The sequence below is a fragment of the Homo sapiens genome, chromosome 11 (assembly GCF_000001405.40).
Source record: "Homo sapiens chromosome 11, GRCh38.p14 Primary Assembly".
In the NCBI taxonomy this organism is placed as follows: Eukaryota; Metazoa; Chordata; class Mammalia; order Primates; family Hominidae; genus Homo; species Homo sapiens.
This window is the reverse complement of record NC_000011.10, coordinates 2,569,890-2,595,854: the sequence shown is the minus strand read 5'-3', so window position 1 is coordinate 2,595,854 and position 25,965 is coordinate 2,569,890. Positions and strand designations below refer to the sequence as shown.

General features: G+C 59.6%; 1 protein-coding gene across 5 annotated transcripts in view, besides 1 other annotated feature; it reads right to left on the bottom strand.

The window, feature by feature from the left end:
• The window catches only part of KCNQ1 (potassium voltage-gated channel subfamily Q member 1), a 404,098-nt gene that overhangs the window by 253,251 nt on the left and 124,882 nt on the right, over positions 1 to 25,965 (bottom strand). For 3 of the 5 annotated variants that reach the window (NM_001406837.1, NM_000218.3, NM_181798.2), the window contains 8 exons: positions 25,101 to 25,227; positions 24,452 to 24,530; positions 23,746 to 23,842; positions 22,869 to 23,009; positions 12,310 to 12,420; positions 10,548 to 10,643; positions 8,163 to 8,285; positions 7,001 to 7,142 (listed from right to left, as the gene is read on the bottom strand). In NM_001406837.1, coding sequence (NP_001393766.1) covers positions 7,001 to 7,142; positions 8,163 to 8,285; positions 10,548 to 10,643; positions 12,310 to 12,420; positions 22,869 to 23,009; positions 23,746 to 23,842; positions 24,452 to 24,530; positions 25,101 to 25,227 — 916 coding nt within the window. The remainder of the gene's footprint in view (positions 1 to 7,000; positions 7,143 to 8,162; positions 8,286 to 10,547; positions 10,644 to 12,309; positions 12,421 to 22,868; positions 23,010 to 23,745; positions 23,843 to 24,451; positions 24,531 to 25,100; positions 25,228 to 25,965) is intronic. The other 2 variants (NM_001406836.1, NM_001406838.1) reach the window with 2 other exon arrangements.
• Positions 15,717 to 16,322: an enhancer, noted in NCBI's record as "H3K4me1 hESC enhancer chr11:2600763-2601368 (GRCh37/hg19 assembly coordinates)". NCBI's record gives its function as "activates a minimal SCP1, AML or CMV promoter by ChIP-STARR-seq in primed H9 embryonic stem cells {active_cell/tissue: H9 hESC(primed)}" and the evidence as "EXISTENCE:reporter gene assay evidence [ECO:0000049][PMID:30033119]".

The following is a 25,965-nucleotide window of genomic DNA, read 5'->3' as shown; positions in this document are numbered from 1 at the left end:
CTTTGCCCAGATTCATCAAAGCAATCGCTATCTATGGCCGCTATAGCCTTATAAAATGTATTTCTTAAATAATAAGACTTCAAAGTTGGCATTACTCCTTGATTATGGGCTGCAGAATGGATGTTGTGTTAGCAGCCATAAGAACAACACTAATCTTGTACATCTCCATCAGAGGTCTTGGATGACCAGGTGCACTGTCAATGAGCAGTAACATTTTGAGAGGGATCTTTTTGTCTGAGCAATAGGTCTCGAAAATGGGCTCAACATATTCAGTAAACCATGTTGTCAACAGATGTACTGTCATCGGGCTTTGTTGCTTCATTATAGAGCATAAGCAGAGTAGATTTAGCATAATTCTTAAGGGCCCTAGGATTGTTGAAATGGTACGTGAGTACTGGCTTCAACTTGAGCAAGGTTGCCACAAACCTTCAATTTGTAAAAAATGCATTATCAGCAAAGTGCAGTCAATAAGAATGAGACACGCCTGTATTTTAAAAATCTCAATTTCTGGTTATTTGCTGCAAGAATATATGAATGGAATTGATTTTTGCATATTAATCTTGTATCTGCCACCTTACTAAACTCATATATTAGTCATAGTGGTCATCTTGCATGTTCATCAGATTTTCTACATAGATAACCATGTCTTCTGCAAATAAAGACAGTTTTATTTTATAAAATAAAACTCTCTTCTCAATATATGTTACTTAGACTTGCTCTCACAGGAGATTGGGGTTTCTGTTTACACTGCATAGGTTGTCTAGAAGATCCCATATCTAAAACATGGATCATGAAGGTCCTGGATTGGTTCACTGGGTCACCCTGTACAAGCAAAAGTGCAGCTTCTCCAGAGGCATGTACCTTATACAGGATACATAGGAACCCCACAAACAAAAACATCCACCACACAAACTCATGATCTAAATTGCAAACCCACAATGAAATGAGCCATCATGAGCAAGAGTCAGAAAAAACTACAGTGAACAGAATTAGACTCTCCAAGAACTGCAGATGATGAAATGACAGGATAGAGGGTACAAAATATGCATGTTCAAATGACCTAAAGATTAAAAGTTGTAGTTTAAAATATGAGAAAGGTACAAGATGCTAAAATCAAGCAAATTAAACCCCCATACAAGGATTTATAGGGAAGGAAAAAATATATAACTGAAAGTCTCAGTGGGTAGATAAAGCAGTGGAACAGAAACATCTCAAGAGTTAGAAACTGCATAGAAAATTCTGTGAATGAAGCAGAGGGAGACAGAGATAGAAAATCTATGAGACAGCTGAGGAAGACAATGAGATGGTCAAATAGAAGTTTCTGGAAAAGATCAGAAGCATTAGGGGAGGCAATATTCTACAACATAATGGTACTGACTTTCCACGGTTGATGAAAGACATAAACCCTCAGATTCAGGAATCACAACAAAGTGTAGGCATGATAAATAAAAATAATGCACCACCTTGGTACAGTACATTGAAACCTCTGAACACTAAAGTCAAAAGGAAGGTTTCTGAAGTCACTAGAGGTAGGGAGGGTCACTTACAAAGGAAAATCAATTAGCCTGATGACCCACAGAAGCCAGGAGACTGCAGTGTTACAGCTCCAGAGTCTTCAGACAAAATGTACATATTAACCTGTTACTTTCTCCCAACGAAACCATCATCCAAGAATAAAGGCAAAGTAAAAATATTTCAGACAAACTGAAACTGAGAGTTTACCTTCACTGAAAGAAACACAGACTTCAGGAAAAAGGAAATTAAATCCAAATGGTGAGACAGAAAACTGCAAGTCTGTGAGTAAATATCTCAATGTATGCAGCATCAACAAAAAGAGGATTGTTTAAAAGACAAAACCAAAATACTGGGCAACAAAGGCCCAGGAAACGGCAGGAGGCAGTAGGATCTGGAGCACCTTGAGGTCCCAGTGAGGTTTCAGAGGAGTTGGGGTGACTTTTGATCTCAACTGGCAAAGCATTCAGGATTTAATCCTGTGGCAGCCACCAAAAGTGCACAATCAGAACACACGGCTTTGAATGGAGGAGTGCATGAAAGGCCAGGCTTGGTGTGTTGGGCTGAGGACGCGGAGCCGGGAGCAGGAGGAGGCTACAGCCTGACCCTGTGAGAACCAGGCTCACAAGTGCAGAAGTGAGAGGTGAGGCTGTTCCATGACGCATGCCTCCAGAAAGCACACACACGAGTGTGAACGATGAGTCCCCAGACCACACTGGGGACCTCTGGGTATGTGATGCATGCTCCTCCAGCACGCTGCCCCACTTCACAAACGGGAAACCACACAATAGTCCCAGGTCACCTGGCAAACACGTGGTGACACACACAGGCACAGCTTTGAAGACGCCTCCCCAGAAGCCCTTCAGAATCACCTCCAGGCCAGGTGGAAAGGTGCGTGCTGCCCGATCCTACGTCACAGACCACGACCTTACAGCCCAGTGTTCTCTGAGCAGCAAAAGGCCTCTGAGGTGGCCTCCCCGATCCTACGTCACAGACCACGACCTTCCAGCCCAGTGTTCTCTGAGCAGCAAAAGGCCTCTGAGGCGGCCTCCAGGACCAGTGAATTTGGGGAAGTCTCCTCTGGCCTCCTAGGGGCATTCAGGAGGCCACCTCCGGCCAGCCCTACTCTGACAACCTGCCTCCAGTCCCTTTGTCAAGACAAAACCCTGGTGGCACAGCCCTGCATTTTTATCGTGTACCCACCATGGGTTAGGCATGGTACCAGCTTGGGAAGGGTCAGTGGTGAAAGACAAAGGGCCACTCCCCTATGAGGAGGGGACTGGACAACCTGGTCAATGGTGACCTGGCTGTGGAGACAACTGGAGTGGAGGAGGGGCAGGGTAGGCAGCTCAGGATGGAGGCGGCTCCTTCAGGACTCCTGGGATCCAGGAAAGACAGTTCCAGGCAGAGTGAATACAGTGGCTCTGAGGCAGGGACAGCGAGGCAGCATGGCCAGTATGCGGCTCCAGCCCAGGCCTCTTCTGACCTGCAGATGTGGATGGCCATGCCCGCTTGGACCCTCTGGGCAGGAGGCTGCCTGTGTGTCTGCCCCCACCCCACAAGCATACAGAGGATCTTCAGGACGCCCAAGGCAGCAGCAGCCGGGCTGTGAGTGTCAGGCTCCCCAGGCTGGGCACAGACAATGGCCACCGCATCCTCGCAGGTCCCCAGTCCCTTTGACACTGCCAAGCCAAGTGGCATGCGGTTGGGTCCCCATGCATCCTTCATGAGGAGTCTGTGACGCTTCACTGCAAAGACTCTAGGGCTAGGCTGGCCAGCCCCTGCTGTGCTCTGGCTCTCGGGCTGGGTGGCTGCTGACATTCCCCTCCCTCCCCACCCAGGTCAGAAGGTTGAGGGAGCAGCAGCGGGCCCTGCTGCGTGGGATGAGGGCTGGTGCCTCCCCTCAGTGAGGCTGCTCTACAGGGACCACACAGCCCATTTTTGCTGCAGGTTAGTCTGTGTTCTGATGCTACCATGGGGGACCTTCTACCTTCCCAGCCTCCCTCCCCTGAGGTCTGCCACTGCCATACCTGCCTGTGCCTCTCGACAGGCTCAGTGAGGTGTCAGGACACACAGGTGTCCTCAGGAGTTCCCCACATGGCCCTGGCCTTCCGTTTCTCCATCTATAAATGGGGCCAACACCGCACAGCACCAGCTAGAGCACGAGCTGAAGGGGCTTGTGTGCAGGTGGATGGCGCAGACAGGTAGCAGCCCTGAGGCAGGGTCAAGGGGACTTCTGCCTAACCTGCAGGTTCACACAACAGAAAGCACAGCCAGACAAGGTCGAGGCCTGGGTTTGACTTTGCGGGGGACTCAGTGTGGCTGTTCGTACCCGCCTTGCGGGAGTGGGGCTGTGGGGCTTCCCCAGGAGTGGCATCTGCCCTGGGATCAGCATCTCCTTCTCCCCAAGCCAGGGCTCTCCAAGAGCCTCCTGGGCAAAGGGGACTCCGGATTATCAGGGGTCGCTCTGTCCCTGGGGGCCAGGCCAACAGCTCAGGCTCCAGAAAGCTGGTGGTTCCAGCCTGGGCTGACTTATCAAGTTAGGAAAGAACAAACTCCAGCAGGAAAGAGAAATCTTCTCCGTGGAGGAGCATTCCACAAAAGGCGCCTGACTTTCTCCGCACTTGCCCCTCATTAACATTCCGCAGACAGCACTAATGACTTCATAACACTAACCAGGCTGAATGGACGGCATCGATTCGGGCTGCCCCGCATTCAGCAAGCAGCAAGCGATGCTTCTCCAGGCCGCACACAGGCTGGGTCCCCAGCCCCCGGCCACGCCCACCTGCCCGTTAGCATGCGCAGAAAGCCCCCATTTGCATGGAGACAATGGTCTCAGCCCTGAATCCGGAGCTGTGGGGGCACTGGGCATTGGTTGGCACAATCGCCCTTTGTGCCGGCTCCAGCGGGCAGGCGGGAGCACGTCCCGGGGGCTCACTGAGATGTGGTCGGGTCCCAGCCCAATCCTGATGGCATCTAAGTCCTGGGGAGCCTGGTGCCCAGTGGAGCGGGAGCCTGGACTTGGTCTTGCCTGCTGACTTCCACATGGGATGCCCAGGAAAGCCCCAAGGGGCAGGGAACACCACCCAGCCTCCTGCCAAGGAGGTGGGGATGCAGGTGAGCCATCCTGAATGAACTGGAGCTTGGCGGGCTGGGCTGGTGCCTGCGAGCACAAAGGGTTGCGAACACTGTGGGTTTGTCCCCTCTCTGCCATGCATAAGATGTGACAGCATCCTTACAACTGCTGGTAAGCTGAGACATTCGGGTTAGTCCCAGGCACTGGGAAGAGGTCCGAGAGGGAGAGATGGATGCAGAAATGACCAAAGGGTAAAGGGACGGCTGCTGAGAAGGGAATGGATCATATTACTTGGATGGCTGAGCACATACACAGCAGGTGACCTGTGGTGATGCCAGGGCATCAGCGCTTGGCCTCCCACACCTCCTCTGCCAGGCATAGAACCCTGGCCACTTGGCACAACTGAGGCAGGGCCTGGCTTCCAACAGCCCAGAGTCCGGAACAGTGGGGTCCAGCCTCCAAGGGACTGGGCCACATGGAGCCCTCCCATGGGGCATGGAAGGCAGAGAGTGGGGAGCAGGCCCTCCAGGGTGGGGTCAAGCCTCCTTAGAGGGACATGCCTTGGAATCATGGAAGAAGGGGGCTGAGACTTCAAGGAGCAGAAACCGGGTCAGCAGAGACAAAGTAAGCAGGAACCAATGCAAGGCCCACGTGCGTGATGTCTGTCTGGACAACAGCAAGTGGTCAAAGGGGAGTGGGCTTCAAATGCTGTGCTCCCCCCACCACCTGGAAGATGAGGGCTCTCCCATGCTGGGAGGGCAAGGCCACTGTTTCATGTGGGGCCTAAACTAGTGCTTTCTGGCACCATGATAACCAAGTGTTTTCAAAACAGGTGCCCTTTTCCTCCAAGGGGGACCACGCCCTGGGACGGGGGCTTCTGCGAACATTTGCCAGGGCCTCTGCATTGGTGCTGCAGTGCAGCATCGGGCAAGTGCCATCTTTGTATCAGAACACAGTCACTACTATGTCTGCCTCAGAGGAAGCAGCGAGCAGGGCCACAGATGGCACCTTTGCACGAGGTACTAGGGAGCAAACAGGCTTTGCTGTGTTTTCTCCTGGGAAGACAAGGTGCACGCCCCTGTCCTGGTGGCAGCACAGCTATCTCAAATACCCCACGCTGGGCTCAGAGGACAGAAAAAGCCAGAATCCTTCACATTTGGTTTTAAGAGAGCTGCTAGAGAATTTGGCAGTTTGGGATCACAGTCCCCAGAAGTGGGCACTGAAGTCACATGCAAGAGAAGTTGGAGCTCCCAGGGAGAAGTGGGGTCCCTTCCACCTCTCCTAACTCTCAAGGGCATCCGTGGCATCCGTGGCCAGTGGGCAGGAGGTCTCCAGCCCCTCACACTCTGTAGAGCTACCCAGTTCACGGTCCTGCCCTATAGGATGTTTGTCTCAAAACTGGTCCCGAGATGACGGATGCATCACGTGTGCCTCCTGATGCAGCCAGGAGGCCAGGTCTGCCCTGGAGCAGTGTGGGGAGGCCAAGCGCTGATGCCCTGGCATCACCACAGGTCACCTGCTGTGTCTGTGCTCAGCCAGCTGCACTTCTGGGAACAGCAGAAGTTGGCGGGAGGCATGGGGGGGCCACAACCAGACACTGCTGTGTTCCTGCCGTGTGGCTGAAGCACATGGGCCCAGCCTCCAGGGCCTCACTCGTGGGAGCCACAACCGGGCACTGCTGTATTCCCGCCGTGTGGCTGGAGCACACGAGCCCAGCCTCTAGGGCCTCGCTCTCCACATCTGTCAAAGAGCCACGCTTACGAGTTAGCGTGGGTAAAACCCCTCACCAGGGATGGAGGACATCTAAACCCTAGACAGGTCTGCCATCCAATCGTCAGGTCCCGCAGAAGGTAGCTTCATCCCAGCCCCCGCTGCAGGGGTGAGAGGAGGGACGCAGATCCGAGCCACACCATCACGCACAGACTCGGGGCCCCTGGGCTGCATGAGAAGGGCCTGTCCCGTCAGGCCCCCCACGTTTTACCCGGGCCTGGTGCTGCTCCTCCAGGGCCCCATCCCCAAACCCCTTCCCTCTGGCGTCCCTGCCAGTAGGCCCAGAGGTCACCCTAGCCACTTTCCAACCAGAGCCCGTGGGCTCGGCTGGGAGGAAGCCAGGCAGCTGGAATCAGGAACACACCCTTCCCTCAGTACAGCCGGATGGAGCCGACCCACCCCATCACCTGCCCAGGCTTCCTCTCGCAACAGAAGGCGTGGCCAGCTCCTCCTTGGGAAGACTCTGAGGGGAAGGCACCTGGAAGGTTTACAGAAGTTTCTAGAAGCTCCACCCTCTGTCTGTTCATACCTCGTTGTCAGAGACCACAGCCCAAGGGAGAAACTCACTGGCTTGCTCGGGCTCCCAAAAAAGGCAGTGACCTTCCCGGCCCCGCGGCCCCCAACTGCCTGAGGGGTTCTCACCAGAACTGTCATAGCCGTCGACAGAGAAGTGGTCCAGCCGCCGCTCTTCTGGGGGGTCGCACGTGATATGGGGGACTGTGAGCATCTTCTCTCCAGGAGTCACCCCATTGTCTTTGTCCAGCTTGAACTTTTTTTTCTTTACCTAAAAAAAACAAGACAACAGATTAGCGGTTCCTGGACATCGTCTGCCAGGCCCTACGCCGGCCCCAGAGTGCCTGTGCAGCCGCCCCGAGCCCAGCCCCCGCCACATACACCCGGACAGGGACCTGAGGCCTGGGGCCAGCTCCAGTGTCTTCACACAGAGACAGGGCAGGGCTGCTGGGGGTCACGTGGGGGGCTTGGCCCAGGTGCTGCCCTGTGAGCTCACGGCCTCGCTAACAGGACAGCAGGAAGCAGATAAACGTACAAGATGGTGCCAGTGGAGGTGGTAACAGGGGCTGTGACCAGTAGGGGAGAATGCATATCGGGGGAACAGGCTGGGGGCCAGCAGGGCATGAAGAGGGCGCCTGAAGTGAGGGAGCAGGCTGTGTGGAAATCTGGGGGAACATTCCAGCACAGGGAACAGTAGGCACGGAGGCTCCACCGGCAGCTGGAAACTGGGAAGGCCAGGTCTCTCCACAGGGGGTGGGCACGGGCCAGGAAGGGGAACCATGCCAGCGTCAGCCCCAACCCCTTATGACCCCAGCCATGTCACAAGACTTCTGCCCAGCGCCTGCCAAACTCCACTGCCCTGTGACCTCCAGACCCCCTTCGCTGCACCCCTGCCTCACCTCCCTCCCCTGCTGCTCCCCTCCCACCACCCACTGCGCGCGGCCCCCTGCCCACTGCTCACCACCCACTGCGCCCGGTGTGGAAAGCCCAACCCTGAGGCCCTCTGAAGAGCCTTCTTTCCAGCCCGTCCTGCTCCCAGAGCTCTATCTCTGGAGCTCTCATGCCCTGGCCCTGGAATGACCGGTCCTACATACCCCCAAGTCGGGGGACATTGGGATGGCAGGAACCTAGCATCGGGTGTATGGCCCAGTGTCCCGAACGATGCTGACTCCCTGACACAGGCTGTACCAAGCCAAATGCATGGTGAGATCCCAGCCTCGTGCTGCGGCCCCCACGGCCTCCCCACCTGCTAGCAAGAAGGCCCTGCCCTGGTGGCAGGTGGGCTACTCACCACCACAGACTTCTTGGGTTTGGGGCTGGGTGACAGCAGAGTGTGGCTCCGGGGGGCCTTCCGGATGTAGATCTTCCAGGTGGAGGAGTCGGGGTTCTCGGCAGCATAGCACCTCCATGCGGTCTGAGGTCGGGCAGGGGGACAGGCTGTCACCTGCTGAGCCACCCGGCGGGGGCCCTTATGGAAGCTACAGCTCCCCCTCCCTGTTCCCCAGGCCTGGCCCCTCCCCTCTGGGTGGCAGGGTCTGGGACCTCAGAGTCACAGGCTTGACATGGTCCCAGCTCCCAGACCCTCTGCCCAGGCAGCCTGGCTTGGTCCCTTGCTGCACCAGGCAGCTCACTGCCTCATGGGCTAATTGTTACCCACAGCTGGGACACCACAGAGGTCTTTACCAGCCCTGAGCCAGCCTTGAGCCAAAGGAGAGACTTGCAAAGGTGGGCAGGTCGCACATCATCCCCAGGTGCCAGGGTACACAGCGTGCATAGGAGACCAATGCGGAAATGGGCAACCAGTGGCCACACAGTGAGGAAGGGCTGAGAAAGAGGGGTCGCCCAGGACCTGCAGGTGCTGAGCAGGGGGCAGGGAGAGGCAGGATCCCTAGGGCTGGCAGGAGGTGAGGTCTCTCCCAGAGGCCTATACCACCTTGCAGTTGGGGGAGCCTCTGATGGCACATGGGTGCAGCTCTGAAGCCAGCATTTCAGAGAGACCCCATGGCAGCACCACAAGGGAAGGGTGGGAGGAGGGGACACTATCGGCAGGGGACCCGGCGGGGGAGCAGTTGTGCAGCGTCCAGATGGGCAGGAGGGGCTCCCAGGGCCTTGTATGAGGACATGTCCTGGTGGCCTTGTCATCACTGGCCACATGAGCCTGAGAGAGGGCCGAGTGGAGAATGTTCCCCCACACTGATGGGCTCCTGGGTGACAGCCCCAGGTAGACACAGCAGCTGGCGAGGGGCACCTGCAGCCCTCACTCCCATCCAGCACCCAGGGACAGGCAGGCGAGGGCACAAGCCCAGCCTTCCAAGGCCCGAGTGTTACACACACAGGCTGAGCACTCCACGTGGTCCCCCAACCCTGGCAAACCCCATGACCCCTGCCCTGCTCCTGTGCACACCTGCCACCTGGGGCCCCTACTCCAGTCCTCCCACAGTGTGTGCAGCTTCCGAGGGAACCCCTTTCAAAGGACCTGTGGTTCCCAGGGAGTGGGACCAGGAATCCAATGTGGTCCCCTGCCAGGCGTGGGCGGCCAGCATGCTCATGCTGGGACCAAGGCGGGTTTACGGGCCTGATTTATGGTCTCCCAGGAAGGAGAAACTGTGAAGCCATAAAACCAGGCTAAGGGTGGGAGCACACAGCCCCCCCGATGGCTGAGCCAGGAGTGCAGGAGGACTGCGACTGGCCCCTGACAGCCTGGGCCTTGCCTGGGGCAGCGAGCTCACGAGGACTGCAGGGGGGACGCCAGCCAGCGGGGGCTGCCCAGGTCCTGGGCCTTCCTGGGGGACATCAGGCCCAGTGTGCCCAGAGGAACTGACACTGTGCTCCCAGCCACTGCACTGGGCGGAGGCCCTATCCCCAGTGGGCACTTGTCATTCAACCCGGCAACGCCCACCCTCTGGGCACCTCAGCGGCTGTTCCTCAGGGCAGCCCTGGCCCTGCAGTGGCCAACAAGAGAGACCCACAGGGACGCAATTCTCAAGTGACTCCTGTGCCAAGTCCTTGCTTACGTTAACAGAGCAGTCCCATTCTCTGGTGGGTCCTGGAGAGCCTGGAGTGACAGAGCCAGAGCCCAGCATCCCAGAGCTTGGTACTGCCTGCCTCCCCACCTGCCTCCAGAACCTTCCTGCCCCTGTTGCTCCAGGGCTCTGCCTTTCCCAGCCCACTGGCCTTGTGAGCCCAGAGGGAGGCCCATGCCATCCATCGCCAGTCCTCACCTCCAGGCACCAGGGCCTCCCGAGCCCTGAGGGATGCCAGGCCCTCCAGAAGGCACCAACTGCACAGCTGGGTCCTACCTCCCTTGGGGACAATCACCTGGCCACCCCACTCCCAGACTCAGCCCTCAGGTTGTTGTGCAGTGGGAGGGAGAATGGGAGCACAAGGGAGCCTCAGAGCCAACCACGTCCACTCCTGGCATGGCCACGGCCGTGCCTCCTCTCCAGCCCACAGGGCATGGCCCTTGATGGGAGCAGCTTTGGAGGAAGACAGGCTCCAATGCCCCGTGCTCACCCCATCACCACAGCAGCCAAGGCTTCCACAAGCAGAGTATGCCCCACAGGCCAGCCAAGCTGATGCAGGGGCCAATGATGGTTCTGACAGGTGGCCGTGAGGGCTGGATGCAACAATAACAGTGACCAAAATGACAGTGACCAGGGCCTTGCAGGCACCGCACCTGAATGAGTGAGGCTGCCGCCGGGATCTGCCGGTTGAAGTGCTTCTGCCTCTGCTTCTGCTGCACCTTCAGGGCAAACCCCGAGCCAAGAATCCCCTGGGAAGGAATGGACAGGAGGCTCCCGTCCACACAGGCCACTGCCAGCTGGGTGCAGCCTCAGGACGTGGTTACCGGTCACCGTTGTGGGAAGGCCAGGTATGGTCAGTGCTGGAAGCCCCCCCAAGTCCCACCTCGGGCCCAGCCTGCCTGTCCTGGGCCAGCATGGGGGGCAGAACTTATACCCCAGGTCTTATCCAGCAAGGGGCCCAGTCCCATGGGGCAGGGCTGCAGCCGCTCTAACCCATTCCCAGGGACCATTCTGGGGGCCAGGTGGGCTGGTCCATCTGTATGTGCCCAGGAAGGGGTCATACTGGGCACTGGGATTGGGGTCGCAAGTGAGAAGGCAGTCCTCAGCTGAGGAGGACCCTGCTGCTGCCTCGCCCAAGGACGGTTGATGGGATGCAAAGGACCCACCCTGAAGCTAGGGAACTCCGTGTCTACAGAGGAGATCACGTGGTGCACGTGCATGTGTGATGCACACACACACACAATAGATATGCACACTAACACACACACACTGACACACACACAAACACTAACCCACACACTAACACACACAAAAACACACTAACACACAAACACTAACACACAGTAACCCACACTAACACACACTAACCCACAAACACACACAAACACTAACACACACAAATACACACTAACACAAACACATACTAACACACACACTAACACACAAACACACACACTAACCCACATACTAACACACACTAACACTAACATACACTAACATACACACACAAACACAAACTAACGCACACTAACACACACACTAACACAGAAACACAAACACAAACCCACACACTAACACACAAACACACTAACATACACTAAAACATACACTAACCCACACTAACACACAAACACTAACACAAGCACATACTAACACATGTCTACATGTCATGTGCACACACATATACGCACATAGATGTATAGGATACATACCTGTGACACAGATACATAAATACACATATGCAAACATACTGATATACATGTATAATGCATACATGTGCACACAACACAGCACACATACTAAATACAACATATGCACATACAATATGTATACACAGTATGCACGCACACATACAGTACATACACACCCATGTGATACATATACACATACCCATAGTATACAGGTAACATAAAATTATACACACACAACACAAACACATATTATGCACATACGCACATAACACACACACACACACCCACATACAGGCATTGTGAACTAGACACATCACCTTACAATCTGTGGTTTCTGGAAAGGACATGGAACAAAACCCCCCCAGCCACAGCGTGGAAGTGCCCTCTCCAGGCACAAGATTCTGCCTCCATGGGGCGTGGTAGCAGCATTGCCCACCCACCCAGGGCTGAGTGAGCAGGCCTGCCCCACACTGCGCCCATGCACAGCCACTCCAGGCTGCCTCCCACACTGCCTGCAAGGACCCCAGTGGGGACTGCAAACGGGAAGTCTGCATCCAGGGCCCCAGGGAGGGCAGGTGGGGCTCTGGAGTATAGCACCTTCTAGAAGGGAAGCACCCTCTTGGTTCTGAACGTAAGTGGGTCTGCTCACAGGGAGGGGCGTGCAGCCACCCCAGGACCCCAGCTGTCCAAGGAGCCAGGGAAAACGCACCCACGGGGCACCTACCGCTGGGAGCGCAAAGAAGGAGATGGCAAAGACAGAGAAGCAGGAGGCGATGGTCTTCCCGACCCACGTCTGGGGCACCTTGTCCCCATAGCCGATGGTGGTGACTGTGACCTGCAGGGAGAGGGACAGTGGTCAGCCACGGATGGGACTGGAGCCTCGGGAGGGCCAACTGCCTAACCCAAACCCACCACTCTGATGAGCGGAGAGGCCGGCAAGAGACCCTGACCACCAGGACGACCCCGTGTGACTCGGCGAAAGCACCAGGAACAGAGCCGCGGGATGGCACATGTCTCCCAGGCTCTCGGCGTCACACACAAGGTATGTCCCACCAGCACATGTAAGGAGCCCAGCACCCACGAAGGGCCAGGCCTGCTGGCTGGGAACGTGGGCCTGGGAGCTCGCCCCACACCGGCTGCCTCATCTGCCTGCCTGTCCCCAGGAGGCTGGGCCCCTGGGCCACCGACGTTGCTGTGCGCCGGCCCCCAGGAGACCGGGAGCTCCCACTGAGGCTGGTCGTCAACAAAGAGCAGGGGCTGGGATGACGCGCTGCTTCCTGACGCCACTCCAGGGCACCAGATGTTTTATTTTCCTCTTTTCTGAGAGTACAAGATGCAGCTCAAGCCTTCTTCTTGGTGGGAGAGCCATCCGTCCAGGACGTGTGGTGGGACAATAGAAGGCTCCCCCCACCCTTTCCCCCGCGCTGGCATCTGAGGTTTGCTTCCTGGGGATTCCAGTCTGAGCCTGGAAATGTCATTCTGCAGGACGTAGGAGCCTACCCTGGCTGGGCCTGGTCCGTGCAGGCTGCCTGCTGGGTTCTTCAGGAGCTGGCGCTGAGCCCAACAAGGAGACCCAGAGTGGCCCTCAGGCACAGCTCACCCTGTGGACACACAGGCTCCTGCCTGGGCTCATCTGGACAGCAGGCATGGTGGCCCAGACCATGGCTGTGGCTGCGGGAGGTCTTTGCAGCCCTGCTCTGGGCACCACACTCAGGACAGCACAGCATTTACCGGCTTGGGGCTTCTGGTCAAGGTCAAGTGACGGCCACCGCTTGCAGGCCCAGGAATGCCCCAGCTGGGAACCACATGGAGACCCCCACTGGATTCCCAGCCCTATGGGCCCAGTGCTGATGGCAGGAAGGCCTGAGGCCTGTTTAACACACTCTGATGGAAGGCAAGAACAAACCCCGGCCCACCTGAGCCCCCACGAGACCAGGGTCCCTGGGCCACCCTGTGGTTTCCACCAGCCACTGAGGAGGAGGGAGGGTGGGGAGAAGCCCCATGGCCACCCCCGGGCAGGGGTGCACAGGCGCACACGCGGACAGAGAGGCAGGTGCACACGGCTCACGCGACTGCCCAGAACTGCCACAGCAGGAGGCTCGGAGGCTCAGGTAGCAGAAGCGGCCACATTGCGGGAAACCAGGCTGTACCGATGAGCACGTTAACGAACAGTGATGAACGCCAGCCACCGCCGCCAGGCCACAGGGCGGGACAGGCCTCTGCTGAGCCCTGGCCGCCACCCAGGCCCCTGCCCCACTAGTGCCCTGACCGCACGTTCGCTTATGGCCAGGATGCTTCTGCAGAGGCTGCTTGCAGGCTACCTCCCACAGCTGCACACGGAGCTCTCCCTGCAGCGCCACTGTCCTTAAGAGACACACACATGCCCCCATGCCCCTGCCACACACACAATGTGCACAGGAAGCTGTTTACTGCCAGGCCCTTTCAGTGGACCACCCGGCTCTGTGTATGTGGGTGCACACTCACAAGCGTGCCCCATGCAGAGATGGGATGCTCCACACGTGCACGTGTCTGTGCTTGTGCACACACACACGGAAACACACGACCCGGCACACGCACGTGCGTCACACAGATGACAAGGTCATGTGAAAAGGGAGCTGGTCCCCATGTCCGAGCCTGACACTCTCAGGGCACATTCAGGTGCAGACACCTTGAACGCACAGCGCAGGCACACGGAGCGCAGCCAGGTCCCTGCAGGGTGAAGCCAGGCCATGGGTGAGGCTGACAGTGGCTGGCAGAGAGGGGGGCCCTGGGGGAACCGGAGCCCCTCGTCTGCAGGGTGTCCTCCCCAGAGGGCCTGCACCCACATGCACAGGCTGGGCTGCCGCTACCTTCCCCAGAGGGCCCAGGTGCACTGGGGTGGGGAGTTGCAGAGGCAGACACAGGGCTGCAAAGTGGGCGGGGCATCGGAGACCCTGTGCCAGTCCTGCCCTGGGGAGTGACTTCCACCTGGTGAGCTCTCAGCCCAAAGGGGCTCAGCCCAGGGTCCCAGCACATCCACTGTTTACCAAGTCTACAGCAAGTCCAAGAAAGCACACACAGGTGGCCCAGAAACGGGCCTAGAAGGGCCTGGGCAGGGCAGGGACCCTGGCCTATCCTGGCCTTGAGCTCGGAGGGCCCCTGCAACCTGGAGCAAGAGGGCTCCAGAGTCTGTCTAATCCAGATTTTTTGGGGGGACACTCACCCCTTCAGTATGAACATGCTGATTCCTACTTGTTCATCCAGCAACCTCCTATTCATCCCTCAGACCTGTGCCTGGGCTGGCGCAGCCCCTGCCAATGCCCTGAGGCAGTGCTCACCCCTCCACTCCGGGCTCTGCCTCCGCTCTGCAGAAGGGCCCCTCTCAGCACCGTCTGCCTGGCTGGCACGTGCAGCCCGAGACTTGAGGAGCAGCCCAGCGCAGGCCCAAGTCCCACCCCGCCTGGACATCCTCCTAGCACTGGGTCCGGGAGGACAAGGTCAGGCTGAAGAAAGCAGGGGTGGTGGGGTGTGGCAGACCAGCGCCCAAGGTGGGGGTCAGGTATGAGAAGCAGGGTTGAAGGGCTGCGTCCAGGACAGGGCTGTCTGTGTTCCCCAGGCAAATGTGTGCTGATGATCTGCTGGGGCTGGGCTCAGGGACGGCAGCACTCTCTGTGGCTGGGGGGCACTAACAGGCACTCCTGCTCCCACCCAAGCGTAAGCAGTGGGACGTTGCTCTTCACAGACAGTTCCGGGACAGGCGTGGGGATCCCCGTCCTCTGGGGAGCCAGGCTTTCTGGAGATTTGCAAAAATGCATATTTTTCTTTCGATAATATTTGTTTTGGAAAATATAGAAATTTTTCATGACATTATGAAAATGTAATGGGTCTATTATTTTAATAAATTAATATGGAATTGTTTTTACATGCCTCCACTGTATTAAATAGTGATGGCACAATGCCCACGAGCCAGGCTTCTCCGTCAGGGGCACCAAGGGGCCCTGAGACCAAGAGGCCTGGGCACGGCTGCCTCCCGAGGCAGCCGAGGACAAACCCAAGATAGGCTGAGAGGCAGGAATTGGCCTGAGGGGGGCTGGGCGGCAAGCAGTTGGGGGAGGCCAGTGGGGAGCTCCTGCCTTGCGTGCCAAGCGTAAGGGGCGCCAGCAAACCCAGGCATCAAGACAAATGGCACGGGCTGGCATATTAAACATTGTTCTAATAACAACATTAAATTATTTTAATATATTTTAAAAGCATTACTTTTTAAATGAAAATACCATATTTTGATTATTTAAAAATCTAATACAGAAACTGCATGATGAAGGTGGAATGGAGTGGGGCTGGCCTGGAAGTCAGAGTGGAGTTGGGGTCAGGTGAGCAGGTGAGGTAGCCACCTGCTCGCGTAAGGACACCCGAGACCACCTTCCAAACCTGCCCCCAAACAGACGAGAGCTGCTGAGGGTGGGGGTGTCACCTCCTGGGGCTGAGCTGGGTGCACGTGGGCTCCTGCTGGCTGGCTGGGTGGTCAGTAGAAGGCAGGGGTGCCCCGAGAGGGAGAGAAAGGCCAGCCCCAGAAGTGCCCCTGGGTGTCTGCCCACCGTGGAGAGCACACATACAGCAGGACGCAGCTCCAGGACCCCACCTTCGCCTGGTCTGCCTGTCTGCCCAGACCCGGCCCCAGACCCTCATCCTCAAGTTAACAAGGAAACGGCCCCTCCCTGCAGACCTGTTTGTTTTTCCTGCATTCAGACACAGGCAGCTCAGGAATGGGCTGTTTTATGGTCACCATGCTGGGGATTAGTCCCTGATGGCCCACCACCTGGAATGCAGATCCACATGTCTGTCTCCTGGGCCGTGGCTCCTTGCCAGGGCACCAGCCATATGAGGCACACAAAGTCACGCCCATGGCAGGAACTGTGGGGGCGAGCGGGGAACGCACACCCCACTGGTCAGTGTGTTTCCCCCGCCCTCCTGCTGGCCTGTGCCTTCACTCCCATGTGAAGGGGCGGGAGGCATGGGGAGCCTTCTAGTCCCCCCATGTTCCTCCCTGAGAAACACTGGGATTCTATTCCCTCCTTTCAGAAGTAGCCTCCTCAAGGCTGGCCTCGAGGGGAGGACAGAGGCCAGCCCAGAAACCTGAGCTCCAGCCGCATGCCAAGCCCTGGCTCCCAGAGCTCACTGGCCCCGGCTGGAAACGTGGTAGTCATTTGCCCAGAAGGAAGGGGTGGTCCTGGCTGGAGATGTGGTGGTCGTCTGTCCAGAGGAAGGGGTGGTCAAGAGCGGGAGGAGGGGGTAGCCCAGAGGTGTCACACCCCAGCTGGCACTCTCAGGTCAAGATCATCTACGAAGGAGGAAACTGAGGCTGGGCAGTCACTGTGCTGAGGGCTCCCCATTAGAAAGTGGCCAGGCAGACAGCTGGACCAAGGCCTGCAGGACCCACGTTCCCCGCTGTGGCCACCCCGAAGGCAGAGATGGGCTAAGAGGCTGCTTCAGCCATTGCAGGCCCCGACCTTGCCCAGCCTCGAGAGCCCAGCCTGCCCGTGAGGAGGCACCTAAGGATGGAGTCAGGAGAGCGCAGCACCCAAGCTCAGCCCCACAGCTCCAAGGAGGGCGGCAGGGGCTCCGGGACATCCCATGCGGCCACAGCCATTCCCAGGTCACTGTGCTGGGGCCCCAGCCATGAGGAGGCCCCTGGCTCTTCATGGAGGCTCTGGGCCAAGGGCGCCCTCCCAGGCCTGCTCCCCTCTCCAGGGCTTGGAAGGAAGCCCATGCAGGATCTCGCAGAGCTGGGCCCTCGGCCTCAGTGCCCCCAGTAGGCTGAGCACACAGAGGTCCAGGCAGGTGTCCCCTCTCGTGGCACGATGCCTGTCTCAGTGGTTCCAGGGGATGTGGGACAATGCCCTATGAGTGAGGGCCTCGGGCCCCACCTGGCACCGTCACCTTGCCTGGAAGTCCTGTGGCTGCCCTGCTGGCAAGGCTGGGCTGGCACCGTGGCTCTGAGTGTGGGGGGCAGTTCTCACCCTGTCCGTCTGGCCTCAGGCAAAGCCCCAGCATGTTCTGTACCTCAGTTTCCCCCTCTCGGGAAGGTGCATGATCACAACACACTTCTCACGGGCTGCCTGCTGGGTGAGGGCTTGGCACGTGGCCAGCCTGTCACTCACTCCTGGAATTTGTAAAGTGCTTTGGTGCCCCTTGCAGACTTAGAGACCCAGTCTAGAGCCTGTCTAGAGCCTTCTGGGCCTCTGCTAGCTGGTGGGCTCCCCCCATGCAGGGCTCAGAGACATGCACTCCTCAGGACAGGGCAGGACAGGGCCCCACTGACCTGGGTGACACTACAGAGGGCAGGGCCAATGAAGGTGGAGGAAAGGGGCCTAGGGGGGTGGCCTGGGAAAGGGGGAGCCGTGGACAGAGGGAGGCCCCTGGGTGGGGGGCAGGACTGTCTCTGGGACAGAGAAGGGTGGGGCCAGCGGTCCTGGGGCTCTAACAGGCCAGGCACTCACATTCCAAGGGGACGCCCAGCCCCCGTGGGGCCGCCCTGGAGACTCCGGCCTGTCTCTCAGGAACAGCCATAAAGGGGCTGACGCCACCAGGTGGGGGTGGGGGAACAAGCCAGCAGGCTGGCAAACTCTCAGGGTAAAAGCAAAAGCAGACACACACCCCAAAATAAACCTGCTTCCTTTCAGCAGGAGAAAGTAAATAAACGAACACCAATTCACGAGGGCCAGGCCTCCCCGTCACATGGAGTCCTCTCCTCACTCACGAAGCCCGGAGCCCCACACACGGGCTGGTGGTGAAACCGTCAACACCCCCATGGCACCCAGGCCCCAGGCCGCGTCTTCCCCGAGGTACAGCCAGGCTCAGCGCCCTGCCGGAAGGTGGCCCAGGTGACTGTGTCTTGAGGTCTCAGCTCAGCTGTCACTTCCTCAAGGAGGCCTCCCTGCTCCTGGGCCGAAACAGTCCTGCAGGGACACTCCGGCGGTGCTTCCCATGGCCACCTGCGAACCACCACAGGCCAGCCCCAGCTCACACCATGCTTCTCGCTCCTGACTGTGACAGAGAGAGCAAGACAGGGCTGCCCGAACCCCTGCCGGTGCCTGGCACACAGCAGGACCGCAAACCACACGCCTCAACAGTGAGTCCACAAACGGAGACCCAGCCTCACCAGGAGGCCCTTTCGGTCCAGGGAAAGTCTCCGCAGCAGAGGGATCGGTTGCAGCCTCTGGGATTACAGTCCTCAGCAGCCCTTGCAGCGGGCCCTGCATTGGCCCTGGGAGACGGACTGCTGTCTCCCATGTGCAGATGGAGAAACTGAGGCACACAGCAGGTGCGTACTCTGCCTCTGTCCCCAGGCCCACTCAGTAGGGCAGCTGAACTCGTTCCCCTTTGCACGGAACTCCAGGAGGAGGAAGAACGCTGACCCAGGGGCTCGGTGGGTGGCCAGGTCCTGCCGCCCCTCGGCCCACGGCGCCTTGGCTTCCCCAGCTCTTCCTGACACCACCCCTCCCGCTGGGCAGTGCCAACAGGGCTGGCCTGTGACTGTCTGGGAGGCCCTGCCCTCACGCACACCCCTGCACCAGCCCCCAGCCCCTTCTGGCCTTGCCCCGCCAGGGTGCAGCGTTGCCAGGGAGGCGGGAATTTCTGGAGGCTCCAGGTGAGGAGAGAGTGAACAGCAGGCAGTCAGACTCGACTTCAAAAGGCGGCTGAAATGTAGGAATGGGGTTCCAGCTTCTTTACTTTCAATTCTAAATTTAGGTGCAGAGGGGCAAACACAGCCCGGCAGCCTCCTGTTTGTAGAGACCCCCGGGCGCTGAACAGAGAAGCCCGTGTTTGCAAAAACTGCTTCTCCCTCCACTCAAACTTTAACACAAACAAACGCATTTTGTTCCAAGGGCAAAGAAAAGTCTTAAATTCTCCCCAAACGCCTTGGCAGCCAGGGCAGGCGCCACACTCAGGGGATTCGAGAGTTCTCACATCCAAGTTGCGTATCCCCACCCCGGCGAAGGGGACAGGAGGGGACACTCAACCACTGAGCCGGCGCCTTCGCTGGACAGCTGTGGAAACTGGTGGCCGGCAAGGGGAGGGACCTTCCCAGGAAGTCCACCTGGGCCACCCACTGTCCTAGGCTGGACTGCATCCCCCCTAATTCATATTCACCTGGACCCACAGAATGCGATATTTGGAAATAGGCTCTTTGAAGATTCAATCAAGATGAGCTCCTCCTGGATCACCTGGGTGGACCCTAAAGCCAACAGCAAGTGTCCTCATGAGAGACAGGGCCTGACACAGAGGAAAGAGGCGGCCGCACACCGGGCACGCCTGGAGTCTCCAGCCACGGGGAGAGGAGAGGAAATTTCTCCCTGAGCTTTCGGAGGGGCAGGCCCTGTGCACACCTCGCTTCGGGCTCTGGCCTCTAGAGCCCATGAGTTTCTGTTGCTCTGGGCCCAGCAGTTCGCGGACTTTGTTGTGGCAGCTCCAGCACCCTCTCAGGGTGTGTCTGAGGGGTGAGGAGTCCACAGAGTCCAGGCAAGGTCTGGGGCAGATGCAGCATGATGATCAGAATGGCCTGGCCTCCAGGAAGCCACCTCCCACCCAGTAAGGGCCTGTGGCAGCCCCGACGGACGGACAGACATGGAGCAGCCCTGGCTGCCTGGCCGGCGAGGGCGTACTTCACTCCCCGGTGGGGTGAAGGAAGCAGGACAAAGGAGCTGAAAGAAAACAACTGCTCAGGGCGCAGTTGCAAATTGGCAAAACTGGCTTAAAAGCCCCCATCTGGGCTGCTGCCCCTTCTTGCGTTTCTCAAGTTCTGTTTGTCCGAGAAATGCCAGGAACACAGCCCATAACTCAGGCCTCAGGGGCCGCTCCCCCCAGACAGCTGCAGGGCAGCTGAATGGGAGCTGTTTGCCCCACAGCCCTGGGCGGTGGGGGGCCCAGGGCGACCAGGGGCGCGGGGCCTGGCGGGAACAATGGCCAGGCCAGGGCGCGCGATGGCCGAGGCTCGGGCTGCAGCTGACGGTGTGGGCCGGGGCACTGATGCCAAGCCGGGCACAAAGGGGCCGTGTTCCCGGCCAGCGGGCGGATGTTTGCACAGGTGTGGGAGTGGGAGTGCCGCTCTGCTGCGGGCTGGGGGGCTGGGGAGTAGCGTCCGCTGCCCACAGCTCCAGTGGGCGGCTGGGAAGGCAGGCAGGGCAGCAGCGAAGGCTGGGCACTGCTTATCAGCCGTGCCGGGGCCAGTACCCACTGGCTTTTGCTGCACCGCCAGCTCCTCACTGCCCACCTTGCCACCAGCCTCCCGGGAACTCTCCTGGCTCTGGGCCGTCCATCCCCCGAGCACGCCCTACCCATCCACACTCACTGCAGGCAGGCTCCCGCAGGGGGGCTGGGCCCTGCTGCCCAAACCTGCTCAGGCCTGCCACACTGGGGCCTTCGGGGACACAGGCCCCCAGGAAGGCGGGAAGAGGCCGAAAGTGGGGCCTGCCCCAACCCAGGAGCTGTGTCAGCATGCCCCTGCCATCCCTGAGCATTGCAGCACTTTGGAAGCTTCCAGAAAACCTGCTGACTTGGCCTACGTCAGGAGCCACTGCTGAGTGTCTGGCCTCATGGGGGAAGCGGCGGTTGAGGGGGAGGGAGGAGGCACAGCAATCGCAGGGACACGTGCCTGCCTGGGGAGCCACCGGGAGGCTTCTCACCCCACCCAGATATGCTCTGATGGTGGTGGGGGGTCCCGAGAGCCAGCAAGTCCGGTCCTTTCTGGAAGGAGGACTCGGGGCAGACGGACTGGGTCCTGGCACCACCACGTGTTTCCCACGGCTGCCCTGCCCGCCCCCACCTCCAGCCCCCGTGCGGCCCCCAGGCCTTGGCTCCCACCCTGTGTGGGCTTCGACGGCCTCCTCCCCAGCCCCCAGCCCCTGTTGCTACCACGATTCCATCTAACCTGTTATCGGACTGAGTGAGCCCGGAGGTCGGTAGACAAGGGCAGACGCGGGGGCAGGCTTGTGGCGGCAGAGTAGGGGTCACCCTGTCACCTCGGCACTTGGGCTTCTCGGTCCCCACCCAGGGCCACTCCCCAAGGTGTGATGGTGCCACCCTGGGCCTTAGTGGCCTGTGGACGGCCCACCTGGCCCTGCAGCTGTGGGGGGAGATGGGATGGAGTCATTCCCTCCCTGCACTCTGGCCTCCAGCCAGCTACTCCCCTCGGGGTACCCACGTGTTCCCCCTAGAAGCAGCCCTTGAGCTCCATGCATATATAAACGCCGACTTTCACTGGAGGATTTGAAGGCAGCCACCAGCTCCCAGAGGGACACTGGCAAGCTAGGCCTGCCCCCTAAAAATGCCTCAGCCAGCGTCCTCTGAGCCATGAGAAACTGCTGCTGGGCCCACAGGCCAGTGACTTGGGACTTGGGGAGCCTGCAGCTCGGAGGGCGCACCCTGATTCCTGCAGCTGCATCCTCATCGGAACATCTCCCTCTCCCACGTGCAAGCCTGAGTCCCTCAAGGAAGCCCCCACAGACACGGCCCAAGACACCCTGCCCCACCCCTCCCGCACAGCCTCTCTGAGCTTTGGGTGGCTCGGTGTTCCAGTGCGGGATCTGCCTGCTGCACACCGGCTTCCCCAAGGCTCCCGGGCTGCTCTAGGTGGCCGGAACCCACCTTCACAGCCAGGGGCAGCCTCTGGGCCCACAGGCCGGGTCCCTGCTTCCCTAGGCCCAGCTGCACCTATGTCGCCACTGCCCAGGCCCGGCTCCAGAACTTGCAGGCCCAGCATCCACTGGAAACACGGGGGCTCTCTGATCTCTGCTGGGGTCTCTTGAGCCATCATGGTCTTTCCTGTTTGCTGTCTCATGTCTGGCTCCTTGGGGACAGGGGCACTTACAGGGCCTGTGTGGACCCTCAGAGACACGCGAGGTATGCATCTGACGCCGCTCTCCTTGGGCCCTGCCAGGGTGAGGGCCACGGTGGAGGCAGGGAATGGGCAACCTAGGACGATGGCGGGAGGCAGAGCCATGGGGGAGCCGAAACCGCTAAGCCCCCAACACACGCTCCAGTGACCCCTCCGATTTCCCTCTCAAATCTCAAGTTCAAGGATGAGACCATTCAGAACTTCAAGATGGTGATGCCAAAGGACTCAACACTGAGCGTGGGGACCTGTGCCAGCGGCTCCAAGCACAGGTTTGTGGACAGAGGCCTGTGAGCGTGCAGGTGAGAAGCCCCTGCCAAGGCCCGAAGTCTCAAGACACCAGTGCCCAGATGTCCTGCCCACTCCTCAGCCTGAGCTGCCCCTGTCCCCATGCCTGGAAGTTTCCGACTTACCACCCCCCACCACAGCGCATCTGCGTAGCTGCCGAACTCCACGCGGCCTGACTCGTTCACCGCGTCCTTCTCAGCCAGGTACACAAAGTACGAGGAGAAGATGAGGCCCAGGAAGCCGATGTACAGGGTGGTTATCAGCTCCTAGGCCAGAAAACACACAGTGTCGGGCTCCAGGAACCGCAGGCTGGGAGCCTCCTGTGCAGACGCCTAAGGCAGCGAGTCCCAGCGATCACTGGGCGTCCTACGCCGCTCCAGCGCGGTTCACATGCACAGGGCCGGCTTCAATATAGCCCACTCCTCACAACTCCGGTAAGTGGCGGGTGGGGGTTACCCCCAGAATGAGGCTCAGCCCTGGGGTCGCCCTAGGCCCACTGTCTGGGCCGGCGCGGGCTCCACTGATTGCCCAGCTCTCTTTCCTGCCACGTGACAGAACCAAGAATGGACCAGGACCCAGGAGATCCTCAGGGAGAGGAAGGGTCCCCTCACCCCACAGAGCCAGGGGCCAGTGCAGCCTGAACCCATCTGAGTGCAGCCCTCGGGAGGGAGTCTGGTGGCCCTGCCTTGACCGGGTCCTTGATTTGCCTGGGTTTTTCATTTCTGACTTTCTGTCTTCATTTGCCCCCAGCTCAGAGGAAGGTGAGCACACCATCAGCCTGGCAGGCCAGGGTCACTGGCACCAGGCTGGGGTGGAGCATCCAGGCTGGGCTCAAGCTTGGGCTTGCTCTGAGATCCTGGGCCCCGTTCAGGTACCCCTGCGCCCAGGCACCCACCGGCCCCCGGGGCCTCAGCGCATCTCAAGCTGTCCTAGTGTGGGCTGCTCTGCTCCCTCCGTCCTGTCCCCAACCTGGGCCCCGCACCCCTAACCCGGGCCACCCACCTGGCGGTGGATGAAGACCACGGAGCCCAGGAGCCTCCAGGTGCCTCCCTGGCGGTCGACGTGTAGCATCCTCAGGATCTGCAGGAAGCGGATGCCCCTGCGAAGGAGATGGTGTGGGGCTGAGGGAGCCAGGCTGGGCTCAGCTGTTCACGCCGGGCCTAGGGCTGGCCGATGGCATGGGTGTCCCTGCCCCTGCCCCTCCCAGGCGTCCACTCTGGGTGGGGAGGCTGGGTATATGTCCATCCCGACAGGGGCCTGGGAATCTCCCTCTCAGGCGCAGCCCCCCAGAGCCTGCTCTGAATCTGCCCACACAGGGCTGAGCTGGGGGTCGGCCAGGTACCTCCAGATTCCCTCAGTCCCCAGACTGCCTTCTGGGGGGCTCCTTGGGTCACCCCAGTTTGCAGATGGGCAGGCTGTGTGCCCAGATGGTCAGGTTACCACCCAAGTCCTGGAAGTTCAGAGGCGCTAGTGCTGGGCCAGAGCCTAGGGCTGCCTGAGGCATCTTGGGTTGAGCCGTGCCCTCCACACTTGCCTGCACCCACCCTGCTCCACCCATCCCAGCACATGGCTCAGTGCCCCCGGGGGCAGTGGGCACCAAGGCACCTTGCATCTGAGCAAGGTGGATGGGGCGTGAGACCACCCGCGGCTCAGGAGGGGTGCTCGGGGTGGGGCGGCATGGCGGGGGGAGCTTGTGGCACAGACGCACCTGATGGCCGACGTGGCAAACACCTGCCCCTTGGAGCCCACGCAGAGGACCACCATGGAGGCCACGACCACGATGAGGTCTGTGGAGTGCAGGAGAGGGGGAGCTTTTCGTGATCGCCACAGCCAGGGCCCCAGGGAAGAGCATACACCCTGCTCTCGTCTGGGGAAGGGGCTTGCTGGTCAGACGGGTCACGCCCTGATGACCGGGGACATGGAGACACCTCGGATAGGGAGGCAGGCAGCATCTAAACGGAGAGACCCAACCTCTGTCCTGGCCATGTGGAGCCCCCGGCCTAGGCTGGGCCCTGTGCTGAGCCCTGCAAGTGGCCAGAAAGGGCAGGGCCTCAGGCCTGGACCATGGTTCTCAGGCTGCCGAGGGTGACTGGCCCACCATGAAGCTATGCTGGGCTGTGAGGCTCATGGGAATCTGTGAGGGACCAACCCCCTACCCCCAACACCATGATCAGCGTCTGAGTGCAGAGGCTGCTGAGGGCTGCCAATGCTCCTGTGCTGGGTCCTGGGCAGTCACCCCCTGCTGGCCTTGGGGTTCCCCAGTCCTTAGGGGACTCCATCTGGTAGGGGTCATGAGGTGGGGGTCCTTCCTGGTCTGGAAACCTGGGCGTGACCTCCACAGGGCAGGCATGACTCACCGATGATGGAAATGGGCTTCCGGGCAAAGCGCAGCCGCCCCCAGAGGCCCACGTACTTGCTGCGGCAGCCGGCGGACCAGAGGCGGACCACGTACTCCGTCCCGAAGAACACCACCAGCACGATCTCCTGCAGGGACAGAGTGGGACGCTCACTGCAGGCAGGCTCGGCCTTGAGTGGCTTCAGACCCTGCAACCTGTTTGAACCCAGCCATGCTGGAGCCTCCGCTGAAGGACACCCTGAGAACAGCAGGCCCGGGTCCTGGCCTGCTGCGGATGGTGATGCCTGCGCACAGAGGCCCTGGAAGGCTGAGCAGCTTCAGCTCATGTCCATAGGCAGTGGAGCCCAGGTGAGGCTGCAGCTCTCAGGCCAGGCCCACCCAGGCCAGAGGAGGCCCCACACCAGGAACCCCAGCCTTGGCCAGAGGGGGCCCCACACCAGGAACCCCAGCTTGGGCCAGAGGGCGTCCGACGCCAGGAACCCCAGCTTGGGTCAGAGGGGGCCCCACACCAGGAACTCCAGCTTGGGCCAGAGGGCGTCCGACGCCAGGAACCCCAGCTTGGGTCAGAGGGGGCCCCACACCAGGAACCCCAGCTTGGGCCAGAGGGCGTCCCACGCCAGGAACCCTAGCCTGGGTCAGAGGGGGTCCCACGCCAGGAACCCCGGGTGCCCTCCGTGATAAGCACTTTCCCACCAGATCCAGCCCCGGAAAGCCTCACAGCTGGCCTTTGAGCCTGGTGTACCTGCGGTAGGGGCAGCCTCTGGATCACTTTGCCCTTACAGGGAGTCACCTGGCCCCTCCACACCCCAACACCTCCTCAACTCCACCGACACCAGAGGGCGGAGGTTCCTGGAGGAGTGGGAAGA